At 40.4% G+C, this 23221-nt stretch overlaps 1 protein-coding gene across 18 annotated transcripts in view, besides 4 other annotated features; it reads left to right on the forward strand.

Moving 5' to 3' along the window:
- PCGF5 (polycomb group ring finger 5) overlaps positions 1 to 23221 on the forward strand; it is a 128119-nt gene that overhangs the window by 43790 nt on the left and 61108 nt on the right. For 7 of the 18 annotated variants that reach the window (NR_046435.1, XM_017016776.3, XM_017016777.3 and 4 more), the window contains exon 2: positions 22681 to 22975. Coding sequence is in view for 16 of the 18 variants with exons in the window: in XM_017016776.3 (XP_016872265.1) it covers positions 22864 to 22975 (112 nt within the window). In the remaining 2 variants the exon portion in view is untranslated. Of the gene's footprint in view, positions 1 to 20142; positions 20320 to 20654; positions 21559 to 22680; positions 22976 to 23221 lie in introns of those variants that run through there. The other 11 variants (NR_046310.2, NM_032373.5, XM_011540272.3 and 8 more) reach the window with 3 other exon arrangements.
- Positions 20195 to 20264: an enhancer, noted in NCBI's record as "active region_3762". NCBI's record gives its function as "activates an Ori minimal core promoter by ATAC-STARR-seq in GM12878 lymphoblastoid cells {active_cell/tissue: GM12878}" and the evidence as "EXISTENCE:reporter gene assay evidence [ECO:0000049][PMID:35858748]".
- Positions 20455 to 20764: a silencer, noted in NCBI's record as "silent region_2605". NCBI's record gives its function as "represses an Ori minimal core promoter by ATAC-STARR-seq in GM12878 lymphoblastoid cells {active_cell/tissue: GM12878}" and the evidence as "EXISTENCE:reporter gene assay evidence [ECO:0000049][PMID:35858748]".
- Positions 20835 to 21294: a silencer, noted in NCBI's record as "silent region_2606". NCBI's record gives its function as "represses an Ori minimal core promoter by ATAC-STARR-seq in GM12878 lymphoblastoid cells {active_cell/tissue: GM12878}" and the evidence as "EXISTENCE:reporter gene assay evidence [ECO:0000049][PMID:35858748]".
- Positions 20984 to 21278: a silencer, noted in NCBI's record as "tiled region #216; K562 Repressive non-DNase unmatched - State 1:Tss". NCBI's record gives its function as "represses a minimal TATA promoter and a strong SV40 promoter by Sharpr-MPRA in K562 cells {active_cell/tissue: K562}" and the evidence as "EXISTENCE:reporter gene assay evidence [ECO:0000049][PMID:27701403]".

Here is a 23221-nt window from a genome sequence, read left to right on the forward strand (position 1 = left end):
CTAGTCTACACGCTTCAGGCTATCCTACCCAAAGGACAGGGAAATTGGGTTACTTGCCCATCAACTATCCATCCTCCTTGACTGAGGGCTGTTTCCTGGAGATGCTAACTTCCCTGCATTTTTGCCTCACTGTGGGAGAGGGCCCAGCCTGCTCCCAGAGCCAGAATAAAAGCCACAGGTGTTCAAGAAGGCTGCCTTCAGCATGTAGAGATGAGCGTGGAGGAGATAAGAGGGAGGAGGAGACAGTGACAGTGTCTGCTATAGGGGATTGCCTGAAACTGAACCAGAACTCTGGTATCCTGACTACTGACCAGGGTTCTTTATGCTGATTATTAATATCTTCCTACTCGGTGCCCAAAATTGTTCAACTAATCTAGTTAAGAGAGAGTGAGGGTATAGAAAGAACAGGGGATGTAGCCCCTTTCTGGGAAGTGCGCATATATGTTTGAAAGAAGAAGAGAAGATTTTATAAGCATTAATATCAACAGGTATGGATGAGATTGCATTGAAAGCTGTGCATTGCATTTGTCATTGTTGAGGTGCTGCTATAAGGGACTGTGCCAGAAGGGAAGGTGCTGTTTGTTTTGTTTTGTTTTTAAGATATTGAGTCTTGAACACAGTCTCAGTGGGAGATTTGAACATAATTGGCAGAGGCTGAGAGGCAGGATTGTGTACTGGTGAAGAGTTGGGGGCCTTTCTAGTGGGCAATCTAGTTTATCCTATATTCATCACTTTGTGGTCATTGGACAGTGGGCAAATTAAGCTTTGGTTTCTTCCTGTATACGGTGGGGCCAATTATAGAACCCAATTCATAAGGGTGTTGAGAGCATTCAATGAAGTAATTGATGTAAAAATATTAACCTAGAGCTTGCTGTGTAGGAGGTTGATAACATTAGCTGTGTTCGTGATTACTGTTGACAGAGGGAAGTGGAAAGGGGGAGGGTCAGGTGGGAGAATGGTCAGAGCTTGGGCAAGCACAAGATTCAAGAGGCAAATGGAAAAATAGTGTGAAGTGGAACTCCTGAGACACCAGGGAGGTGATGGGGAAAGTTTTATAAAAGTGAGAAGAGCTGCCCACTTAGACCACATTTTCATGGGAGCTGTCTTAGTTTGTTTTCTGTTGCTACAGCTGAATACCTGAGACTGGGCAATTTATAAAGGAAAGAAATGTATTGCTTACGTATCTGGAGGCTGGGACATCCAAGGGTGAGGTATCTGGTGAGGGCCTTCTTGCCGGTGGAGACCCTCTGCAACCTTCTGAGCTGGGCATCACATGGTGAGGGGCTGAGTGTGTCAGCTCAGGTCTCTCTTCATGTAAAGCCACTAGTCCTATCATGGTCCCCCCAGTGACATTACTAATCTTAATTACCTCCCAAAGCCCCACCTCTAAATGCCATCAACGTATGAATTTGAAGATTAAGTTATCAGCACATGAAATTTGGGGAACTCATTCAAATCATAAACAGGAGCTTAGGTCCCATCAAAGTGAAAGCTTACCAGGAAGCCCAATGTGTAAAAAAAATACGTAAACAGAGTTATGTGTTTGAAGGTGGAGTGGAGAACTATCTTCTCCCCTCCTCCCTCCACCCACAGCCCCTGAGGGAATTCTGAGAAACCCCAAGGCAGCAAGAACAAAAACAATGTCTGCAGAAAGATTTTTTAACACTACTGTAACACCTCATTTGTTCTGTATTGAGTTCATTTTCCAGAAAACCTTTTTTTTTTTTTTTTAAGAAACCCATCTTGGATGAAATTTTGTTTAAGTGTGTTACTTTTTTGCCTTCTTAACAAGGCTGAATGAAAACCTTTTAATCTGTTCTTGATGACTTTTGATCATAGTGATGAACATTTAGTTAAGGTTCTGTGCTTTAATGTGGTGATTTCCAACCTCAGAGTTTCTGAAGTGTTAGGACTGTTTACTGGCACTATGCTTTTGAAATTGTTAGAAGAAGCAGGGTGGCATCAAGGGAGGGTCCTGGACTTGGGAGCTACACTGTCCAGGATTATATCCAAGCCTTGCATTTTATTAGCATTGTGACCAGGTGTAACCACTGTTTGCCTCAATTTCTTCTTTCCCAAATTGAGAAGAATAATTGTACTCACCCCCTAGGATTATTGTGAGAAATAAATAAGTTTTTATATGTTCACTGCTTAGAACCATGCCTTCGTATAAAATGTGCTGTATAAGTGCTATGATGATGATGGTCGATGTATCTGTTTTTATGGTTCTTCTGTCTTTTTTGATGTAGTATGGTGGTTAAGCCTATAGACTCTGAAGCAAAATAACCTGGATTTGAATCCACCACCGTTGTGATCTGATTGTTTTAAGCTGATTAATTTTTGTGAACCTAATGATTTCAGTAAAACCCACCATTGTGACCTTGAGAGAGTTAATTTAATTCCCTGTGATTCAGTTTATTCTTCTGAAAAATGAGGCAAATAATACAAAGTAGTTAACAGGATTGTTGTGAGGATTAAATAGGATAAATTTGTAAGCTCTTAGCACAGTATTTGGCACATAGTGAGTAGTCATTGCATAGTAGTCATCGTTACTGTTAATTATTAAGAGTCTAAATGAGGGATACTGTAATATAATATACAGCCAGAAGTTGTTACTATATTTGACTCCTTAGAAGCCTTGAAAACTTCCTTCTTGTACTTAATTGGTTTCAGTAAATAGAGGTTATTAACTAATTATTGATCTTAAATAGTAAGTTATTTTCAATGTGCTTCTTAATGTTGGGGCAAGGGGTAGTTAGGCGAAAAGATTGGCCATTTATGCTATATAATATGCTTACTATCAAACTGTGACTCAACTTTTAGATGTATTTATGTTGAAGGAGTTAGATCATTCTTTGCTTAAAAGGTTGACATGATTAATGTTCAGATGAGGGGATATTTTCAAAGGAAGAAAAACAGTAAAGAAATGTGTTTGTGAAAATGACTAAAAACAATACAGGGTAAGCAGCAAATTTTCTGATGCAGAATACAGGCCAAACATGATTTAAAAAAGCAAGAAAGCAAACAAACAAAAATGGTGACTTTGCAGCCTTGATGGAGGTAGGGGCAGGGGAAGTGTTCAGCCACAATCTACCAGCAAACCCCTTGGTACTAAGCATTTTAAGGGCTAATTTAGGTCTCTAGAGCATGCCACTATCAAGACTAACCCATTCAGCAGGGCTTTGTATAGCCAAGGTTTTGTTGCATATTAAAATGTTTAGGAAAATTATCCAACATTTGGGAATAAGGCACAGGATGATTGCATGTCTTTTTAGCGTTTTCTTGGAGCACTTAAGACACCAGCCAAGGATCATGTAATTCTCTAGGAAAGTGTTCCTTTGTTTAACTTACTTTTTATTAGGATCCAGATTCTATGAAGTTAGATGTTAATTTGTAGATTGATCCCCTGCAAATGACTTCTGTCTGATAAAGAAGATAACCCCAAAGGTTATAGTTTTATTGCCCTATAGGATAGTAACTAGTTTTATTTCTAAATTAGCAATCTTATTTCAGTATTCTGTATTTCATTGACTGTATACACTTCAGTCTTTCCTGTATTACATTGAACCAGATGTGCCATCCTGCTGAGTTAAAATAAATTTTTGACATATGCTTAATATATATTTGTACAAGACTCATGTTTTTAATTTCTTGAAAACTACATCCTGATAAACCAATTACCTATATTAATGGAAATTTTCTTTCCTATTGTTTTCTCCGTTCTCTTAACATTTTTCATTTCCATTGTAAATTTGAAATTGAAATAAATTTTATAGATCCTTTATTCTTTTAATATAGGAAATTTGTCAACAACAAAAACAAGTGTATATATTTAAAAGTTTTAAACCTGATTGTTTTAGGCTGTTTAATTTTTGTGAACCTAATGATTTCAGTCAGGCCCACATTTCTGAAATGAGCGTTATGTCAGTGTAAGCTAATTTAACACTTTTATGCAGTTTTCATAAGTGATTGTACAACTATTTGATGTTTATTGTTGAGTTTGTGAAGCATGACACCACAAAATCATAAAAATGTTCTAATATCTGTAACCAGAACTACAGATAAGGTAGTGATAACATTTAGAGAACATGTTTTTGAATAGTGATTTGCTTTTATAAAGATTAAACTTTTAGAATTATGAATATAATGTTTAATTTGCATAAGTTTATGTCTACTCTTTACTCCTCATAAAATATTCTGACAAGCTTTGCAATAGGGAAGAGGGCTGTTAGGGATGTCTTAGATGGGATTCCAGCATTGGATAATAAATTGAACTTATTGGATTAGGTTTTAATTAAACCTTAATCTGAATTAAGGTTTTCATTTAAAAAAAAACCCTTACATTAGTCTTTCCTCCTTTTGTTAGATGATTGCACTCAAGTAACTGTCTTATATACTTTTAACTAATATTTACTTCATAGATATTAATTTAATTCTTCTAGAATGCAGACTCTATGATGACCAGGCCAGGTCTATTTTATTTACTATTGTGTTCCAGGCACATTTTCACAAACAGCCTGTTTGGAAGTTACTAAAACACAGAATAAGTGGATATGAAATGGTAGAGCCATTCCTTTCCAGACAAATGTTTGGTTCTCAAGTCTTGGAAGATGATAAACATGAGAACCCAGAAAATGCAAAGAAGGAGAGCTCTGAGGATAAAAATAGTTGTACATAACAAAAGTTCCCCACTGCCAACTCATTATTGCCACGTCCTGCCCTTTTTCTCTCTCTTCTTCAGATTTCTTCCTCCTTTCACTGCCTCACTGTCTTTTGTGAAAATGAGTACTTTGGGTATTGTTTTGATTCTGTGTAGGTCACCAAGATCAAGAAATGTAATAAATGCCTTTATCTGGGCACAATGGTGAAAGATTTCCTTGATGTTCAAGTTTTAACTTCTTTCTCATAAAATACCAGAAATAATGTTTCTTAAAATTTGGAATACATAGCTATATTTAAATTGAAATATATCTGTAAACTATCTAGCAAATTTGTAATTTTTATCTACATAAACAATTTTTTAAAATTTTATGAGTAAACTAAGTTATATGTAACACAGTTTAGGTTGCTAATTCTTATGGTCCAGTGAGATTAGATATGTAAATACAGTTATTTTAAATGCATAAAATATATTTATCTCTCTCACTAGAGTCACTAAGTTGGGCAAAATCTTCATTTCTTTGATTTTCCCTGTCATCCAGCCTTGAGCGCAATTGTTCCCAAATATTTTGAAAGGCTATTATGGAACGATTTTTCTTTTTTCTGGGTTTCTAAATGACTGGACACACACACACACACACACGGCCCAGCTAACATGGAGCAAATTATCTTCCACCCTTCCCCAGGTCAGACGTGGCACTCTAAATCCTTCACAGATAATCTGTGAATAAAAACACACCCATAGACCTAGATATTAGTATTTTAAGTGACAAGGGTATATTCCAGCGTTCATTCATAAACTGAGCCAAGCTCAAAGTACATTTTTCCTGAAGAAACAATGTTGTAAACATTATAAATGATGAGTTTCTCAGGCCAGGCCACACAAGTCCTATCTAATCTGTGTTTGTCCATTGAACTATTCCTCTATCCATCAAACACCTAGAGAGTTTCTACTTTATGCCAGATTCCTTGCCCTGCATCGGACCACATCAGAATCATTGACAGTATATTTACAGTTAATAAAACTGAGGCTGGGCGTGGTGGCTCACCCCTGTAATTCCAGCACTTTGGGAGGCCGAGGCAGGTGGATCACTTGTGGTCATTTGTTGGTCAGGAGTTTGAGACCAGCCTGGCCAACATGGCAAAACCCTATCTCTGCTAAAAATACAAAAAGTAGCCAGGCACGGTGGTGGATGCTTGTAATCCCAGCTACTTGGGAGGCTGAGGTGGGAGAATTGCTTGAACACGGGAGGCTGAGGTGGGAGAATTGCTTGAACCCGGGAGGCACAGGTTTCAGTGAGCTGAGATCACACCACTGCACTCCGACCTGGGTGACGGACCGCGACTCTGTCAAAAAACAAACAAAAAAACTAAAAGACATGGTATACCAACATTTGGGCAAATTTTGGCAACAGCCTAACAATAAATTGGCTTTTTAATCTTTTATTTATAAAATAGTGCCACAAATATTTATCGGAGAACTACTATGTGCCAAAGTCTGTGCTTGCCACTAGGAATGAAAGAATGAACAGGGTAGCTCCTGCCGTCAAGGAGCTGAACAGCAGAACTCGGAGAAAAAGCAGGTTTGATTAAAGGAGAATGGAAAGGTAGGTACAGATGTAACATTTGGAAAGGATGGTGACTTCTGTGAAAACAAGCACTAGATGTTATAAATAAGACTCTTCAACATGTCAGCCATGATAAGCCACTTTTTTTTTAATCTCAAAAACCAAAGAGACAATTTCTGATGCCTTTGAATGAGGATTAAAAGAGAGTGGGAGGGAGAAAGGAATTAGGCAGAGTATGAGGAAGATATCACCTGGGATGAAACTAGCAGATAGGGAAAGCCTGCATGGAGCCTCAGTGCACTTAGGAGAGTACACTTGGCTGCATTTCCCCACAGTGGTCCCTTCATTATGCAACTGCATAGTTGCCAGTCTGGAGCAAGAACACTGGGTAGGTAGAAATGGTAGGAGGCAGCAGTCAGCTTAGAGTAAAGGGTGAAGTCTCAGTAACAGCCTGTGGGGGACTGCATGGTCTCTGACTTCCTTTCCTGTGCTTTCTCTGTTGCTATCTGCACCTAAGCATGATCCTGCCTCCATGCCTTTGCCTTACATTGTGTATTCTCTGCCTGGTACGCTCTTCCCCCAGTTACCTGCACAGTTTAGTCCCTTACCTCATTCAGATCTGTGCTAAATGTCACCTAACTAAATCCTTCTCTCACCTCCCTATTTTAAATAGCACTGCCCCAGAGTCCCTCTTGGTTTTATTTTTCTTTACAGCACTGATCACTACATGACCTTATTTATTTGTTTATTGCCTATTTCCTTCTAGGATGCAAGGTCCGTGAGAACAGGGGCTTTGTCTGGTTCAGTGCTATATTTCCTGTGCTGAGAACATAGCCTCGCCCACTGTAGAAGGAATTAGGAGGTGCATTTTCTAAGAAGGGGCTTTTAGCATAGAAAGACCCTTTTCCTAAAAACCTTTTAAAGAGGAATTTTTTCAGCCTATCATTTACTTTTATTTAAGTTTAAGACCACTTTGGTGAGGGATGTGCAGCTGGTGGTAGTATTCTTCTACTAGAGAGTTGTGAGATGAGCCATTTGTCATTGCATTACTTTTGATCTTACACATTTTTTCTACTTTCAGCTTCTTGAGAAATTCAAAATCTACAGAAAAGTTGCCAAAATCTTTCAATGAACATCCGTATATCTCTCACTTAGATTCACTGTTTAACATTTTGCCCCATTTGCTTTATCTCTGTATATACATGTTACTACAATTTTCAATGAACCATTTAAGAATAGTTGCAGACATGACCCTTTACCTCTAAATACTTCAGGTTGTATCACCTAAGAAAGGACATACAGTTACTATATTCAGGAAATATGGCATTGTTATAATAGTATCTAATGTGCAGACCTGTCCCAATGATATCCTTTATAACCGTAACAATAATGAAGTCCCAATTCAGTAAACAGTCTAAAATCACACACTGTATTTAGTTATCAAATTTCTTTAATCTTTCTCAATTTTTCTTTGTCTTTCATGACATTAATATTTTCAAAAAGTGTAGGCCATTTGTTTTGTAAAATGGCCCTCAATGTGGACTTATTTTATGTTTCCAAATGATTATAGTCAGGATAGACATTTTGGGCAGAAACATTACATAGGTGATAATGTATCCTCCTAAGAGCATCATCTCAGCAGGTACATAATGTCAGATTATCCCATTATTAGTGCTGTTAGATGCAATCACTGTTTAGGTAGCATCCAATGGATTGCTCCATTGTAGGGGTACCTTTTCCCCTTTGTAATTCATAAATTTATAGTATCAATTTTAATTACATGAAATTAGACTATCTCTGTCGAGAGACACTGTACAACTATGTAAATATCCTCTACCCAGCAATTTTTTCTTAATAGTTTTAGGATCCCTGGAGATTCTTGCCTGAATCAATTAATAACATGGTTATAAAATAGTGATTTTATAATTCTTTCATTCCTTACATAAGTTGACATTCTCTTGAAAAGAAGGATTCTTCTTTTCCTCCCATTTGTTTATTTGCTTGCTTGTTGTAAATATGGACTCATGGATTATTTTCTTTAAATTCAGTGTGTATGATCCATTCCTCTTGCTCATTTTGATGCTCAGATTGTCCTAGAGTTGGCCTAACTGCACTGATCCTTGGCATCTGGGGAGAGAAATACCTAATCCGGGAGTAAGAGACATTTTTAGTCCATTCACAGTGCCACTTCAATTTTAATTGTGTATGAATCACCTGAGGGCCCAGATTCTGCATTCCTAACAAGATCCCTGCTGATGCTGGCTGATCTGTGGACCCTGGCTGAAGTAACAAAGCTGTAGGCATCTATGGGCTCATTGGAAAGAGCCAAAACACATTGCTCTCCCTGTATTAGTATGAAAAATTCACCTCATTATCATGGAAGAGAATGATCTCTTGGAAAATATATGAACTCTGGTAGGCATAGGGGAGAGAGGATGTGTACCCCACCTGCTTGAGTCCCAGAAATCATGATAATGAGGAATGCTGGCCTCACACTCATGCTTATTTTGCATTTCTCTTGAAATCCTGAACTTTCAGGGAGCTGGCTTCAGTTCCTGGTTTCTGGGACCATGGGAAATAGTGACACCTTCAGTGTTGGATGTGTCTCTACTGGTTTTCTGTTAGTCAAACCAAACTTTATTGGTACCAAGGGAAGTTAGGCAGTTTAAACTCTCCTAATCAAAAAGAAAATTCTCATTTTTCTTGCTCTACAGGAGTGTGAGCTTTCTGCCATTGGTAGGTTTCAGTGGCTTTTGGTCAAATACTTTTTTTCCCTTTAGAAGTAATTTATAGGCAGATTGTTGTTGGCACTCTGGCCATTTGTAGTTTGTTACTGTTACATTCAATTCATTTATTCAGAATTCCAAATATACATAGTATTTTGTGTTGCTTAGTAACTTTGTTTAATGTGTTTACATTTTATCATTAATCCTTTTTTCTGACATAATTTCATTTACTCATCTGTTACCTGACTAATATTTTCCCTTAGTCTATTAATTATGTTAATTGATGGAATCTTCCTTGTAGAAGAAGAGAACTTTACAAGTGAGGGACTTCCTCTTTAGACATCTGTCAGAAGTCAGAGGATGGGGCTGGGCACAGTGGCACACACCTGTAATCCCAGAACTTTTGGGAGGCTAAGGTAGGAGGATCATTTGAGACCAGGAGTTTGAAACCAGCCTGGACAGCATAGTGAGGCTTTGTCTTTACAAAAAAAATTAGATTAAAAAGAAAAAGGAGGCCGGGCGCGGTGGCTCACGCCTGTAATCCCAGCACTTTGGGAGGCCGAGGCGGGTGGATCATGAGGTCAGGAGATCGAGACCATCCTGGCTAACAAGGTGAAACCCCGTCTCTACTAAAAATACAAAAAATTAGCCGGGCGCGGTGGCGGGCGCCTGTAGTCCCAGCTACTCGGGAGGCTGAGGCAGGAGAATGGCGTGAACCCGGGAAGCGGAGCTTGCAGTGAGCCGAGATTGCGCCACTGCAGTCCGCAGTCCGACCTGGGCAACAGAGCGAGACTCCGTCTCGAAGAAAAAAAAAGAAAAAAAAAAAAAAAAAAAGAAAAACGAAGAAAGGAATTGGAGGATATCTGCTGATAGGAGTAGAGTCTCCCAGTTTAGTAGCTATCAATGGGCATTAGGGAATGAATGAATGAATGTGGAACCAATATGCACGTGTCAACTCAATGAGATTGACATGTGGAAATTGAGATTCCCAAATGGGTGTTTTTGTTTGTTGTTTATTTGTTCCTTTTAATCTCTACCATTTGTGTCTTTTGCCACTTCTGGCATTTAGATGGATAGCAGATCATAGCATTAGACAATCTATAAAGCTTGGGCAATTTCTAACATATAAATGATTTGCAACTTCATATGCCCCACTGCTCTCCCTTAACGCTTCCTTCTTCCTAGAGGGATGGGCCCCCACCTGTCTGCTGGGAGATTTGGATGCCCTTCCCCTTATAGCAAACAGTCCACCTGCTGCTTGAGATCCTTTTTCTGCCAGAGAGTGCTACAGCTCTTGTGCTTCCTGGTCACAGCACACACTTGTGTTCATTGAACGATGTGGAGTTAGTATGAATTTTATTCCCCATCTCTCAATTATGTATATGTTATAGAAGGGTGTTTAACGTAGCCACACTGTGAAAACATTACTCATTACTTCTAAATGCTAACCTGCAAATCTAGTAAGATACACAAGGTGGTACCTTTTAAGTCATCTTTGTTAGAGGATGCCACCTGAAGATCTCTAATGTCAAACTGGATAACTGGCTTAGCTTGGTAAGAGATCATTGGCCCACAGAGGTTCAGTGGTTGCTATAGAAGCACAGGGCCAGCAGAACCTGTGGTCTGTGGAGGCCACTAGCACAGTATTCAAGGGCTTTGTCATGGCTGGGTGCCAACACCTGGTGGAAAGCAGAAAGGCTGTTTCAGTGCCTCTAGTGCTAGACACCTGGTACCAATTAAGACCACACCTGCTTTCTGTTGTTTGGTCTCTCCCTTTCTCTGTCCTGTGAGCTACATTTAAAAATAATCACTGAAAATCAGAAATGTTTCCAGTTCTAACTCAAATCACTGTAACATCTCAAAAATGTGTATGTATTCTGGAGATAGTAGTAAGTAGGAGAGCAAGTTTCACCTATTCTCTCATTTAAATGTAGAAGAATATCTCATTTTTTCAGACACGAAGAATTATCAGACAGGTGAGCTGCTTCACACAAAAACCCAGAAGGACTATAGTAGCATCCTTTACAGTGCCTAAAGCAGTGTTTACCATGCATTAGGTACCAGGAGGCATTTGTTAAATAAGTGGTCCAAAGCAAAAAGGAATGGTAATGGAGTGCATTTTATTTTTATTTCCCATCTTATCAGCTTTTTGCAAGCATTATTTTGATTACAGCAAACTTAAATTCCTCATTAGATTTCCAATGCTATGTTTGAACATTGCTTGAATGTCAGTCCCTGGCTGTTTATGCACATGTATACAATACTGACTTGGCTATATCCAGACACAGAAATGCATACTTTGTTGATGTGATTAGCTGGGGGGATTAGTTGTTAAGTTAAAGAATATTCTGGAAAGTTAGGTGGTGCCTTTAATGTCTGAAAGTCTTGAAATGATTTCTTAGAGTGTTTCTCCATGACAGTGTGCTGTGTTACTCTTACTGTATTGCTATAGAGGTTATTGTAAATTTATCCAGCATTTGTTGAACTCCTGCCAGGTTCCCAGACCTTTGCAGGGGCCATACTTGTCCCTGCCTTCAGGTCATTTACTATCGGACCTGATCTGCATAAATGTGAAACGTCAGTACTGACCCAAAACCAACTTAGGTATCAGGTTCATGGGTCTCCAGCAGTTCTTCTATCTTCATAGGAAGAGAGATTCCTATGAGGTAGAAAGGCTGGAAGAATGAACAGTTTAGGAAGATGTAGAATTGCAACTGAATAGTGAAGAAGAGGAAGAGGAGGAGGAGGGAGAGCATTCCAGTTAGTAGGGCTCAGTGTAAGCAGAAGCTAGAGGTTGGCATTCACACTGTGTTCAAGGGATAGTGAGAAGCCTGGTCGAGTTGTTAAAGTAGAGGCTTTGTCTTGGAAAGAGTGGAGACAAGGTTATAGAGCTTATCTGGAACCAGGCCCCAGAGGTGTTGCAGTGCTGCAGAGCAAAGTGGTCTGGAAGGTGGTTGAGCAGCACTAGAATGGTTCAGGAGCTGCACCACAAGGTTCCACTCCTGCCTCCATTGTCAGGAGCGGTGTGATACTGGTTGTTGCACAAACTCTCTGTACCATGGTTTCCTCATTTATAAGATGAGGACAATGATTTTATTTATCTTACAGGATTGCTATAAATAATAAATGAAACAATAATGATATAAAATGCTTAGCAAAATACTGTGTACTTGGAAGAGCTCATTCCATTGTTAGTTATTAGGCAAGGGAGAGACATAAAGCTGATACTCAGAAATAGGTTAATTGAAGCTTGAGAAAGCTTTGTAGAGTTGCTTTTTGCCTTCATGCAGTTGAAAATGAGGTGTTAGAGGTGTCACCATAATTTCCACACTGTTCAAGAAGGCACGGGAAGATACATGAAATATTGTGTTGCATGAGGCCATTCTGTTTTCACTACATCCCCATTTCACAGATTTGATGAACATGCTTAAAAGCCATTGAGAAATAATTAGATCAGAGTAATTTGGAGTGTCTCTTAATAGTCACAGAGAACTCTTATTCTGGTCAGTTAGAGGAAATGAATTATTTGACCAGAAGTAGCTGGAAGTTTGGTTTGCTTTTTTTTCTTGATTAATATTTTATATTGTATACTCAGAGGCTACTCTACTGACAGGAATGAGATAGAGAATTGAATCTGAATAAATCAAAGTGGAAAATAACTATGAATATCCCTAGAAGAATTGTACAGCCTAACTTCTATAACGCATGCCCACTAATTCTGTTTGTTGTGTTCACACTTTGGGTAGGTAAGAAAATGGAAGGCAGCTCTCTATAAAAACAAGAGTTCTGTTTTAATACCCTTGCTTAAAGTTTTTCTTTAATCTTAAGATTTTTTTCTTAGCTGGAAGTAAGTTTAATTCATCTATTGGGACGTTTGGATTTTTATTAAGCTTGATGTCTCCTCTCTTTGTAAAGATCTGAATAAGTTGTGCTTCAGACTCATCTTCATGGTAGAAACTATGAAAAATTGTACAGCATATGTGTTATACTATATGAAGAAATACCATCTTCAAAGGATAATATTACACTCACATTTTAATCACAATAAGTTATACTTCCTAAGCGCTGCTCGTCTGTATCTTATTCTGAATATTATAGATGTTTCCATATCTGGTATAGAGAGTGTTCTTATGTGCAGTTTAAGTGTTTTCAAGGGTCAAAGCTTGTAAATGCTAATAGTTTCTTGTTTAGCACTCCAAATATAATGCCATGCATTTACTGGCATGAATAGTTATTAATTAGTATTAATTCTATTTGTGTTTTAGAAAATGTAAGAGAGATGAATCAAAAGTATGACTAATATTTGAAGGAACACATCTATTTCTTAGTCTGTGCAGTCCTTAAAATATACTCTACATATGTGTGGATATATCTGTATGTATTTGTATATACGTATGCATAAGTAACCTCTATTTGGCTACAAGTAGCACAAATTAGTTCTGTGTCAGATATTATAAGTATGTTTCTGTACTTTGTTCATTAACTTCATTATTTTATTTCATTAAAAAAAATTTTTTTTTAAGATGAAGTTTTGCTCTTGTTGCCCAGGCTGGAGTGCAATGGCGTGATCTTGGCTCACTGCAACCTCCGCCTCCCAGGTTCAAGCGATTCTCCTGCCTCAGCCTCCCGAGTAGCTGGGATTATAGGCATGCACCACCACACCAGGCTTTTTTTTTTCTTTTTTTTTTTCTTTTTTGTATTTTTAGTAGAGATGGGGTTTCTCCATGTTGGTCAGGCTGGTCTCAAACTCCCGACCTCAGAGAGGTCCCCACCTCGGCCTCCCAAAGTACTGGGATTACAGGCGTGAGCCACCATGCCCAGCCACTTCATTATTTTAATGTGCCACATTAAGTGTTATGTACTACATGTTAAACATTAAACAGATTTATTCTAAATGCCTGCTATGGGTTGAATTGAGTCTCTCAAAAAGAACTGGTGAAGTCTTAGCCTCTGCTACCTGTGAATATGACCTTATTTGGAAAGGTCATATTCTTTGAAGGTATAATCAGTTTGGGCTCTTAATTCAGTAAGACTCATGTCCTTATAAGAAGAGGAAAAGGCCAGGCATGGTGGCTCATATCTGTAATCCCAGCATTTTGGGAGGCCAAGGTGGGTGGATTGCTTGAGCCCAGAAGTTCAAGACCAGCCTGGGAAACATGGTGAAATCTTGTCACTACAAAAAATACAAAAATTATCTGAGCATGGTGGTATGTACCCATGGTCCCAGCTACTCTGGAGGTTGAGGTGGGAGGATCACTTGAGCCTGGGAGGTTGAGGCTGCAATGAGGCGTGATTGCACCACTGCATTCTGGCCTGGGAGACAGACTTTGTCTTAAAAAATATATGTTAAAAAAAAAAAAAAGGAGAGACAGACAGACAAGGAGAATGTCATGCGAAGATAGATGCACAGAGAGAAGACGGCCATGGGACTGCTGGAGCAGCAGCACAATTGTATGTTGTAGGGGAGGGGAAATTTCCTCCAGGGAGGTTGCTACCAGAAGAAGGGACTATACTTAGCTACCTCTGGGTTAGAGAATTTAAGGGAACTGATCAAATTCAAAATCATGGCTATGAGAAATAGGAGACAATTTGTCCAGGCATATACAGGAGTAATTATAAGAACAAAGCAAAACAAAACGCAGCATTAAGAACCCAGTTGACCGGGATAGCATGTTTTTAGTAGTACTGATTTGCAGACAAGCACACTGGTAGAGGAGCACGACAAACAGATGAACGGCCAAAAGGCTAAAGAACTGCAGATAAAATATGATAACCAGAACAGGGAGAAAGTTAATGATGATTGCATTGGGTCTGAGGAAGACAAGGAAGGAAATGGATCCAGAGAAAGGTTGATTAAACTAAATTGAAAGGAAGGAGCAGAGAATCCCCAAATGGGGATATAAGCCAGAATACAGTTATTTTAAAATCAATTTATGCTTATAAGTTCAGGTTCTTATTACAGAAAGTCTTTCCTTTTCTAGTAGAAATGAGTGTTCTACTTAAAATTTCATACTTCACTGGTAAAAAGGATTAAAGAATCAATGGTTACGGAAATATTGTAAAGGAAATGGTGATCTATGAATTTATAATCATGAAGTTCTAATTAACTTCCTCATCAGTACTTGTAATAAGCATCACCCTCCTAACATTTTTGGGAAGTGAAATATCATTGTAAGTTGTTCAAATCAGGAACAACAGTTCTTGACAAAATTTGCTTTTTAAAAGCATAAATGAATACATGTAATTACTCCTCTTCCTTGGATTTTTCTTCAGTTTTCTTAATTTAATAAATTAAAATGGTGATATTGAAATGATCTGGTATCAAAGCCTCGTCTTTTATAATTCAGTAATATAGTTAGTGAACAGACCTCGGCCTTGGTGACTTGTGTGAAACTCCCTGTTCACAGATTCTTCTTAATATGCATATAATAGTCATCCAAAAAGCTAGAAAAGGAGAATACCCATCAGCAGCTTAAATTCCCTTGTTTAACGTCATAGAAATAAAAACATACGTCCTTCTCCTTAGGAGGCTGTCAGGTCTGATCTAGTTCCCATAGCTGCAATATTCTTATTTTCAAATGTGCCCTCTTTTGCTGAGTTTGCTGTCTTTGAAAAGAGATGGGATGGGGAAATCTCACCACCCAGCCCTTCAGGGCCTCTTCTCAGAGCTGCTGATACTGGCCATGGTGAGGCTGGAGTTGACAGCTAACACACTTTTCTTCTGGCCTTCTCATTTATCATTCATATGCCATTACCATTCATTTGTAACTGGCAGAGAAGGCATTTAGGACTAATTTCTTGTCCACCCATAGTGCTGCTGCTTTCAACTAGAGTTTTTGTCACTTGATCATGTTCCATTTAACACTTTATTAATAAATTTTGATATATTGCTCCATAATTGTTTCTTGTGGATAAGTCTGTACTCCCTGGTGTGATTTTAATTAATAATCCAAGAAGGCAGGGATTATGCCTTAACACATCCTTTGTAAGGATCCCTTCAAGAAGAAACCCAAGAAAGAATACATAGGATCAGTTCTTAGAATGTATGCTGCAAATTATTCAGTTTTTCAATAAATATTTGTTTGAACACTTGCTTTTTGCCATCCACTCTGCTGGGGATATGCATAGCCAAGCAGTGGATCCACTGGGCTTACACTCTAGTGGGAGATCCAGATGAGTAAATCAGATAATCTAAGAGTGTGATATTTGATTTGAGAGGATAAATGTGAGTTGTTAATGTATGAATATGGTCTGTGTGTATACAGGAGGCTCTTTGGCAGCTTTGAGGTGCCTGAGAAGGTGACCTTTGAAATCAGCTAATACGTGAAAGGATATATAAGGGTTGGTCAGACTTAGCAGAGGTGGGGAAGGGTGAGGGGATAAAGACAGGGTGGTCATTTGGAAGAAGACCTATCTATCTAGCTAGAGAGTAAAGAGGTACATTATGGCTGGAGCACAGAGTTCAAGTGGGGGTGGGGAGGCTGTAGAAGTGACAGGGATTTGAAATGGCCTTATTAAGTGTTTGGGCATTATTCTAGAAATGAGGTTTTTTAAAGCCAGAGAGCAGCATGACCCTCATTTATATAGTTAGAAAGAGTCTTCTGGCTGTGCTGTGGAAGATGCTTTGGCAGAAAAGAGCTGTAGGAAGACTACTTAAGAGTTCATTGAGTGATAGAGAGTAGAGATGATAGTGGATCTGAACAGGGTGGCTAAACAGAGGGATTTAAGAGACATTTAGCAAGGGAAGTCCTTGAAAATTATTGGATTGTGGGAGAGGGGTGCAGTAAGAGAAAGACATGGTCAAGGGTGATTGGAAGTTCTCTTCAATTCTCTGTTCCCCCTACCATTCATACATCATTGATTTTAGGCAAACATAGATTTAGAGTTATAATATTCATGGTCATAAAATAAATATATGTGGGCCTTATAGGATATTTATGTTCAATTGTAATATTTTCTGTAATCTCTATAGGAAGACCTTTATATTACAGAGAGTAGTTTATATGTTAAAGACACTCTATGTTAAAATATTAAACAGCATTCTTAGGTACATAATTTATAATAATGAAAATTTCACCTTTTTTTTTTGAGACAGAGTCTCTCGCTCTGTCGCCCAGGATGGAGTGCAGTGGCACGATCTTGGCTCACTGCAAGTTCCACCTCCTGGGTTCACGCCATTCTCCTGCCTCAGCCTCCTGAGTAGCTGGGACTACAGGCACCTGCCACCACGCCCTGCTAATCTTTTGTATTTTTAGTAGAAAAGGAGTTTCACCGTGTTAGCCAGGATGGTCTCGATCTCCTGACCTTGTGACCACCCGCCTCGGCCTCCCGAAGTGCTGGGATTATAGGCATGAGCCACCGCACCCAGCTGAAAAATTCACCTTATTTAATATTTCAGGGAGATGTAAATATATAACCACATTTTTCAATCACTTTATGCCATTAAAAGTCAGTTAATTAATGATGTATTTATTAGGCAGGAAAGGAATGTGAACTTTTAGTATAGAACTACCTACCCACCCATTGCCCAGCCATAAATGAAATAAAAATCTAGATATAAAATATAAAGTAATGAAAACATTTGTTAGGTATACAGATAGCTCCAAGTAGTTCCAGGAGTTATTAAGAGCCATTTGTGGTTCTCTGGAAGAGTCTGGGCCAATACTCAAATGCAGCAGTTATCACTTTGGGATTATGCTTCTTTGATAGGGAATCACCAGTGGCCACTTCACTCCTAAGTGCCATCTAGACAGTTATTTCCCTCCCTCTCCTCATCCATTCTTCCCTTTCTTTCTTCCTTGTTTAACAACAACAAAAAAAGTTAATCTGTGTGTTTTTTCTTTAGACATAGTCTCGCTCTTGTGCCCCAGACTAGAGTGCAATGGCGCGATCTTGGCTCACTGCAACCTCCACCTCCCAAGTTCAAGTGATTCTCCTGCCTCAGCCTCCCTAGTAGCTGGGATTACAGGCACCTGCCACCAAGCCTGGCTAATTTTGGTATTTTTAGTAGAGACAGGATTTCACCATGTTGGCCAGGCTGGTCTTGAACTCCTGACCTCAGTTGATCTGCCCGCCTTGGCCTCCCAAAGTGCTGGGATTACAGGCGTGAGCCACCGTGCGCAGCCCTAATCTGTTTCTTACCAGACCTCCCTTAAGTTCTGGGACTTGAGAAGTACTCTCAAGAGGTATTAAAGAAAACTGAAGCTGACACCTTTGTTTTTGTCTTGGCTCTACCAGAATCAGCTCTGTAATTATGAATTCACCACGTCTCAGGATCTTAGTTTCTACATCTATAAAATGAGAAAGCTGAAGTACATTATTGATAAGGGGACTCCCAGCTATGATTCCTTTATCCTGCCTTTTTTTTTCCCCTGGTCCTATATCCAGTTGCTTCCAGGCCTTTGTTTACTTGAGGGTCCCACTGGTACTTGAGATTTGTTATCAGAGCTACCCCCTCATGTTGTAGCTTCCGTCATTTGTCCTCTGCCCCCACTGGCAGTACCAAGGGACTAGACTAGGATAAGTAACTGGTAAGGAGCCCCAGGGGAGAAGGAGAGGCAGCACAGCAGCTGAAAGTCCCATGTTTTAATACTTACAATCTGCATACACATCACACAGGAAAGTTGCCATTTCACAACACTCCCTCTTACCATTACTTTTGTTATTATTCTTATTTTATTATTATTATTGAGACAGAGCCTTGCTCTGTCTCCCAGGCTAGAATGCAGTGGTGCGATCTCGGCTCACTGCAACTTCCACCTCCTAGGTTCAAGCGATTCTCCTGCCTCTGCCTCCTGAGTAGCTGGGACTACAGGCGCATGTCACCATGCCCGGCTGATTTTTGTTTTAGTAGAGATGGGGTTTCGCCATATTGGCCAGGCTGGTCTCAAACTCCTGACCTCATGATCCGCCCACCTCGGCCTCCAGAAGTGCTAGGATTACAGGCATGAGCCACCGTGCCAGGCCTATTATTATTTTTTTAACCAGACAAATGTTTGAGTTTTTAAACTTGTTTTTATTTTGTGTATGTGTGCATTTTTTTAAATTGGGGTGGGAGAGATGGAATGGTTGCTGAAGAAGGCAGAGGCGAAACCACAGAACACTTAACTGCAAACTATTGCTGCCTCTCCAGACACAAAGCACAGATTGCCTTATAAAAGTTGTAGTTCTCCCTCATCCCAAGTCCATTCTGGCAACCCCACCTCCACATTCATCCTCAGGTACTGCTGTATCACATGTTTGTGACCCCTTCCTTCATTGCTAACATATGTCATCCTAAAACCCGCCTTCAAGCTCGTTTCCTTCAGGAATACTGATTAACCGCACTTGTGATAGGTCACCAATCACATTTAAGCCCCCTGGACTCCACTGTTATTCTTTTAAAACATATTTAAAATAGTTTCAGACACAAAATAGGAACATACCAAGTCTTTTTTATATATTGTGGTATATATACAGTAATATCCTCCAATGCATATTTTAAACACACTAGAAGTAGTGTGATTTTTCACATACTGTTCTGTTTAGTCTCTGAAATGAAAGATATGAAGCATAAAGAGTAATCCTACTGCCATGAAGTCATTTGACCTCACTTGTTTTCTCTTACTCATTGTGATTGCTGCGACTTATGAAGTTGATCCCAGCTTGGACATTGGCATGTATGATTTTGGAAAATGGTTCTTTAAAGGACTATACGAATGTGGTCATTTAAAGCTGTTTCAGAAAATGTATTGCTCCTGCTGTGATATTAGAAATGGCAATTTTTAAACATGTCAAAGTTTGATTATAAAATGGATAGTTTAAAAAGCTGCCTTGGTCTACTGCTTGATGCATTTTAAATTTGAAATGGATCTTTGAACACTTGTATGGCTGCTGGACTAGCGGTTGTTAAGTTTGTTGGTTTGCCACTTAGAGTCATCTATCACTTTAGTAAGAAGTTAACGCCTATCAGTTGGAGAAAAAGCAAATATTTTGCATTGACAGTCTCCCCTACCCTCTATTATTGTCATTTTCTTAAGCCATCACTGCTCTGGCTTCTAGAATACACATTTTTGAATGAAGGTTTTTGCAGTGAATGGTCTCTTGTAGATCTCAAAGTCCACTAGAAAGAGTACTGGGTTTTTGTTTGTTTTGAACGTTGCAAACAGTAATGCTTCTTTACCACTCACCCTCCCCCCACCCTCAACCTCCACAACGTTCCCGTTTGCTTATAGTTGTCAACGACCATGATCTCTGGACCCACACTACAGTAACAAGTTTGTCAGTCATTTTCAGATAAGGTGCAAATCAAGGGATGGCTTTGTCCCCACTTCGGCGCAGGTGGGACAGACTTGGGGAAGACGCAGCTGAAGAGACAAATTCTCAGGGTGCGTCAGTCTCATCACTGACCGTTGCTTTTAAACCCTCCAGGGAAAATATGCCAGTCATTGTTATGATGTAAACAACCGAAGGGGTGGACGGTGAGGATAAGAAGAACCGAGATAATATTTGGCCAGAGCTACGTGTAGCACAGGGAGCCAGGGCGGCAGCTGCACCTGCGAGCAGCGCAGGCGGCAGGCGCGGCCTCCGGGCGTGGTGGTGGGCGTGGCCGGGCGGCGGGGGCGTGGCCGGGCGGCGGGGCGGGCGGTGCCGCCGGTTGGAAGTGGGTGGAGTTGCCCTTGGAGGCGGCACCGGACCTGGGCCCCGAGGCCCGCCGCGCCCTGTCGGGCCTGAGCCGAGTGGCCCCACAGAGCCGGCGCGCTCCCGCCTGCAGGGGGAGAGCAGACGGGGCGCGGGGACCGGCCAGGCCGCGGCGGGTGCTGTTTCTGTTTCACTTTCCTTCACTCTGAGGCCGGCGCGCTGGCGGGCGAGGAGCGGCGGCGGTGGCGGCCGCTGGGTAGGTACCGGGCGGGCTGGGGAGCTGCAGGGACGCCAGACTCCTCACCCAAGTTTGCGCCTCAGGCGAGAGCGACACCTCCAGACACCTGCCCTGGCCGGCCCAGCCTGGAGCCGGGAGGGCCCTTCGGGTGCAGGGGGCTACCGACCCGGGCGGGGGCTTCGGAGCTGTGCCTACCTCGGCGGGGAGAGCGGCCGGCTGCGGACGCCGGCCCCGGGAAAGGCTGCTCGCTCTCCCCGGCCTGAGCAGCGCGCCCGCGGGGCCTGGGCCCGCGCACCTGCCGGGCGGGCGCGGCTGTGCTGGGACCCCACAGGGCTGTACCGCTGGGTCCTGCCGGAGAACGCAGAAAAGTTCCCCCTTGCCCCCGCCCCGTCATTGCAAGTTCTTGCTTCCCTTAACTGTCTTGGTCACAGGGCTCTGTGCCTTAGGATCTTAGTACCACCCCAGGTCGGGACCGTGCATTTCCTCTTCCAGAGGACTTTCTCTTACTTTGGAGTTTCATGGCAAACCTGTGGGAAAGGCAAGGCAGTTAATCCCAACTTATAGAGGAGGAAGCCGAGACCCAGGCTCAGATATGAAACGGTTTGCTGAAGGTCATACAGGGGTAAGGGCCAGAACCCTGATTCCCTGTCTTTTAATTATGCTTGCTTTCTGTTACACGCACGAATACGGTTTCCCAAGAGGATAGGATGATTACACGTAGAGCCTATTCCCTGCACATTCGCAGTGGGTATGTGTTGATGGAATGCCTTTTACCTTTCCGGTTGCTTTATATTTACCAATGAGTTAACAGCTAAGATGGGGGAAAGTTCCTGTTTATAGAATGCACTTAGGAAAATCAACACCTTTCATGTTGTGTTTTCTGAGAGGATACATATTTTACAGTTAAAAAAAAAAAAAAACCTGAGACAGGAAAGTAGCATTATCCAGGTTATATATCTACTAAATATGACCAGTTTCTATTGAAGAGTTTTTGGTCTAACAAAGAAGGTAAAGAATGAACGTAACTATAAATCAAAATAAAAGGCAAATGTAATAGGAAAGAAGTAAGCATTAAAAACTAGGGAAAGATTGCACTGAGAATAGCATTGGAGAAGGGCTTGAAGGATAGGTGGCATGCAGACAGAGGAGAGAAAGGGCGTGTTGGATAGAGTGCTTAGAACCTGCAGAGGAGACGGTGGGAGAGGAGTGATCCCTTCAGGTTGAAGAAAGTTGTTGAAGGGTATATTAAGGTTAACCTGTAGAAGGTCTTATGTGACAGAATGGGAAACATTTTTCTGTTTGTAAAGAGAAGACACTGACATTCGTTGATAAGAAGACCCAACCAAGTGTCACAAAATAAAATGTGCCTCGTAGCAGAATATAAGATGGACTGCAGGTGGAGAGGTGATATACAAGTAGAGCAGCCGGGCATGGAATAGCAGAGGATATCAACTTGGTTTGACTCGTAACTGGATGAAGGGTTAAAAATGGAAATGGGGAACATTTTGATAGGGAGGATAATTACTTAAGTTTTTAATCTTTTAACTTGTATTGGCAGGGACTCCTAATAGAGCAGTCAAGCAGATAGTTAAAATGCATTAGTGAAGAGGTAAAGATATCAAACTGTAGTTAATAGCTTTGGGTGTCATTAGTATAGAGGTGGTAGTTGAGGTTCCAGGACTGGATGAATTTGTCATTATTCTGAATTATAGCAGATTTGCAAGTTAATGATACAATGAAGGATATGTTCTATTCACCTATTCACCCAATTGGGAACATGTAACACTTGCTGTTAATAGAATGACATTAATACATTATGAGGAATTTGACGCTTTTTTCTCTCATCTTTTTGAAATGATTTTGGAAACAGACATGGGAAAGCGGAACCACCAAAAGGAGTGATGATCAACGATCTCATGATAAATCTGGATGCTAGTTCTCATGCCTCAGGACATCCTACTGGGAACGACACACCAGCTCCTGGGATCAGACTTTCATCTACTTAGGACCCCTCTTTGCCCAGACTACTAAAGCCAGTCTTCACTAGCCACGAATGGCTACCCAAAGGAAACACTTGGTGAAAGATTTTAATCCTTACATTACCTGCTATATCTGTAAAGGGTATCTGATCAAGCCAACAACAGTGACGGAATGCCTCCATACATGTAAGTATTCTTTTAGGTTATTATACCTATCAAAGTTTATATGTACATTTTGTTCTTTTAAAATTGCCATGTTTTGTTTTTATCTATGTTGTAACTTTTAAGAAATGAGTATTCTAATAATTATTTTAACTTTGAATTTTCAGAATATTTGTCATTGGGTTGCCAGTGGCATGAAATTTTGCTTTTATTTGAATCTCAGTAGTTGACTCTTATCACATTGTAAAATATTCTAAAAATCATAAGCAT

This window comes from Homo sapiens, chromosome 10 (assembly GCF_000001405.40).
Source record: "Homo sapiens chromosome 10, GRCh38.p14 Primary Assembly".
Classification (NCBI taxonomy): Eukaryota; Metazoa; Chordata; class Mammalia; order Primates; family Hominidae; genus Homo; species Homo sapiens.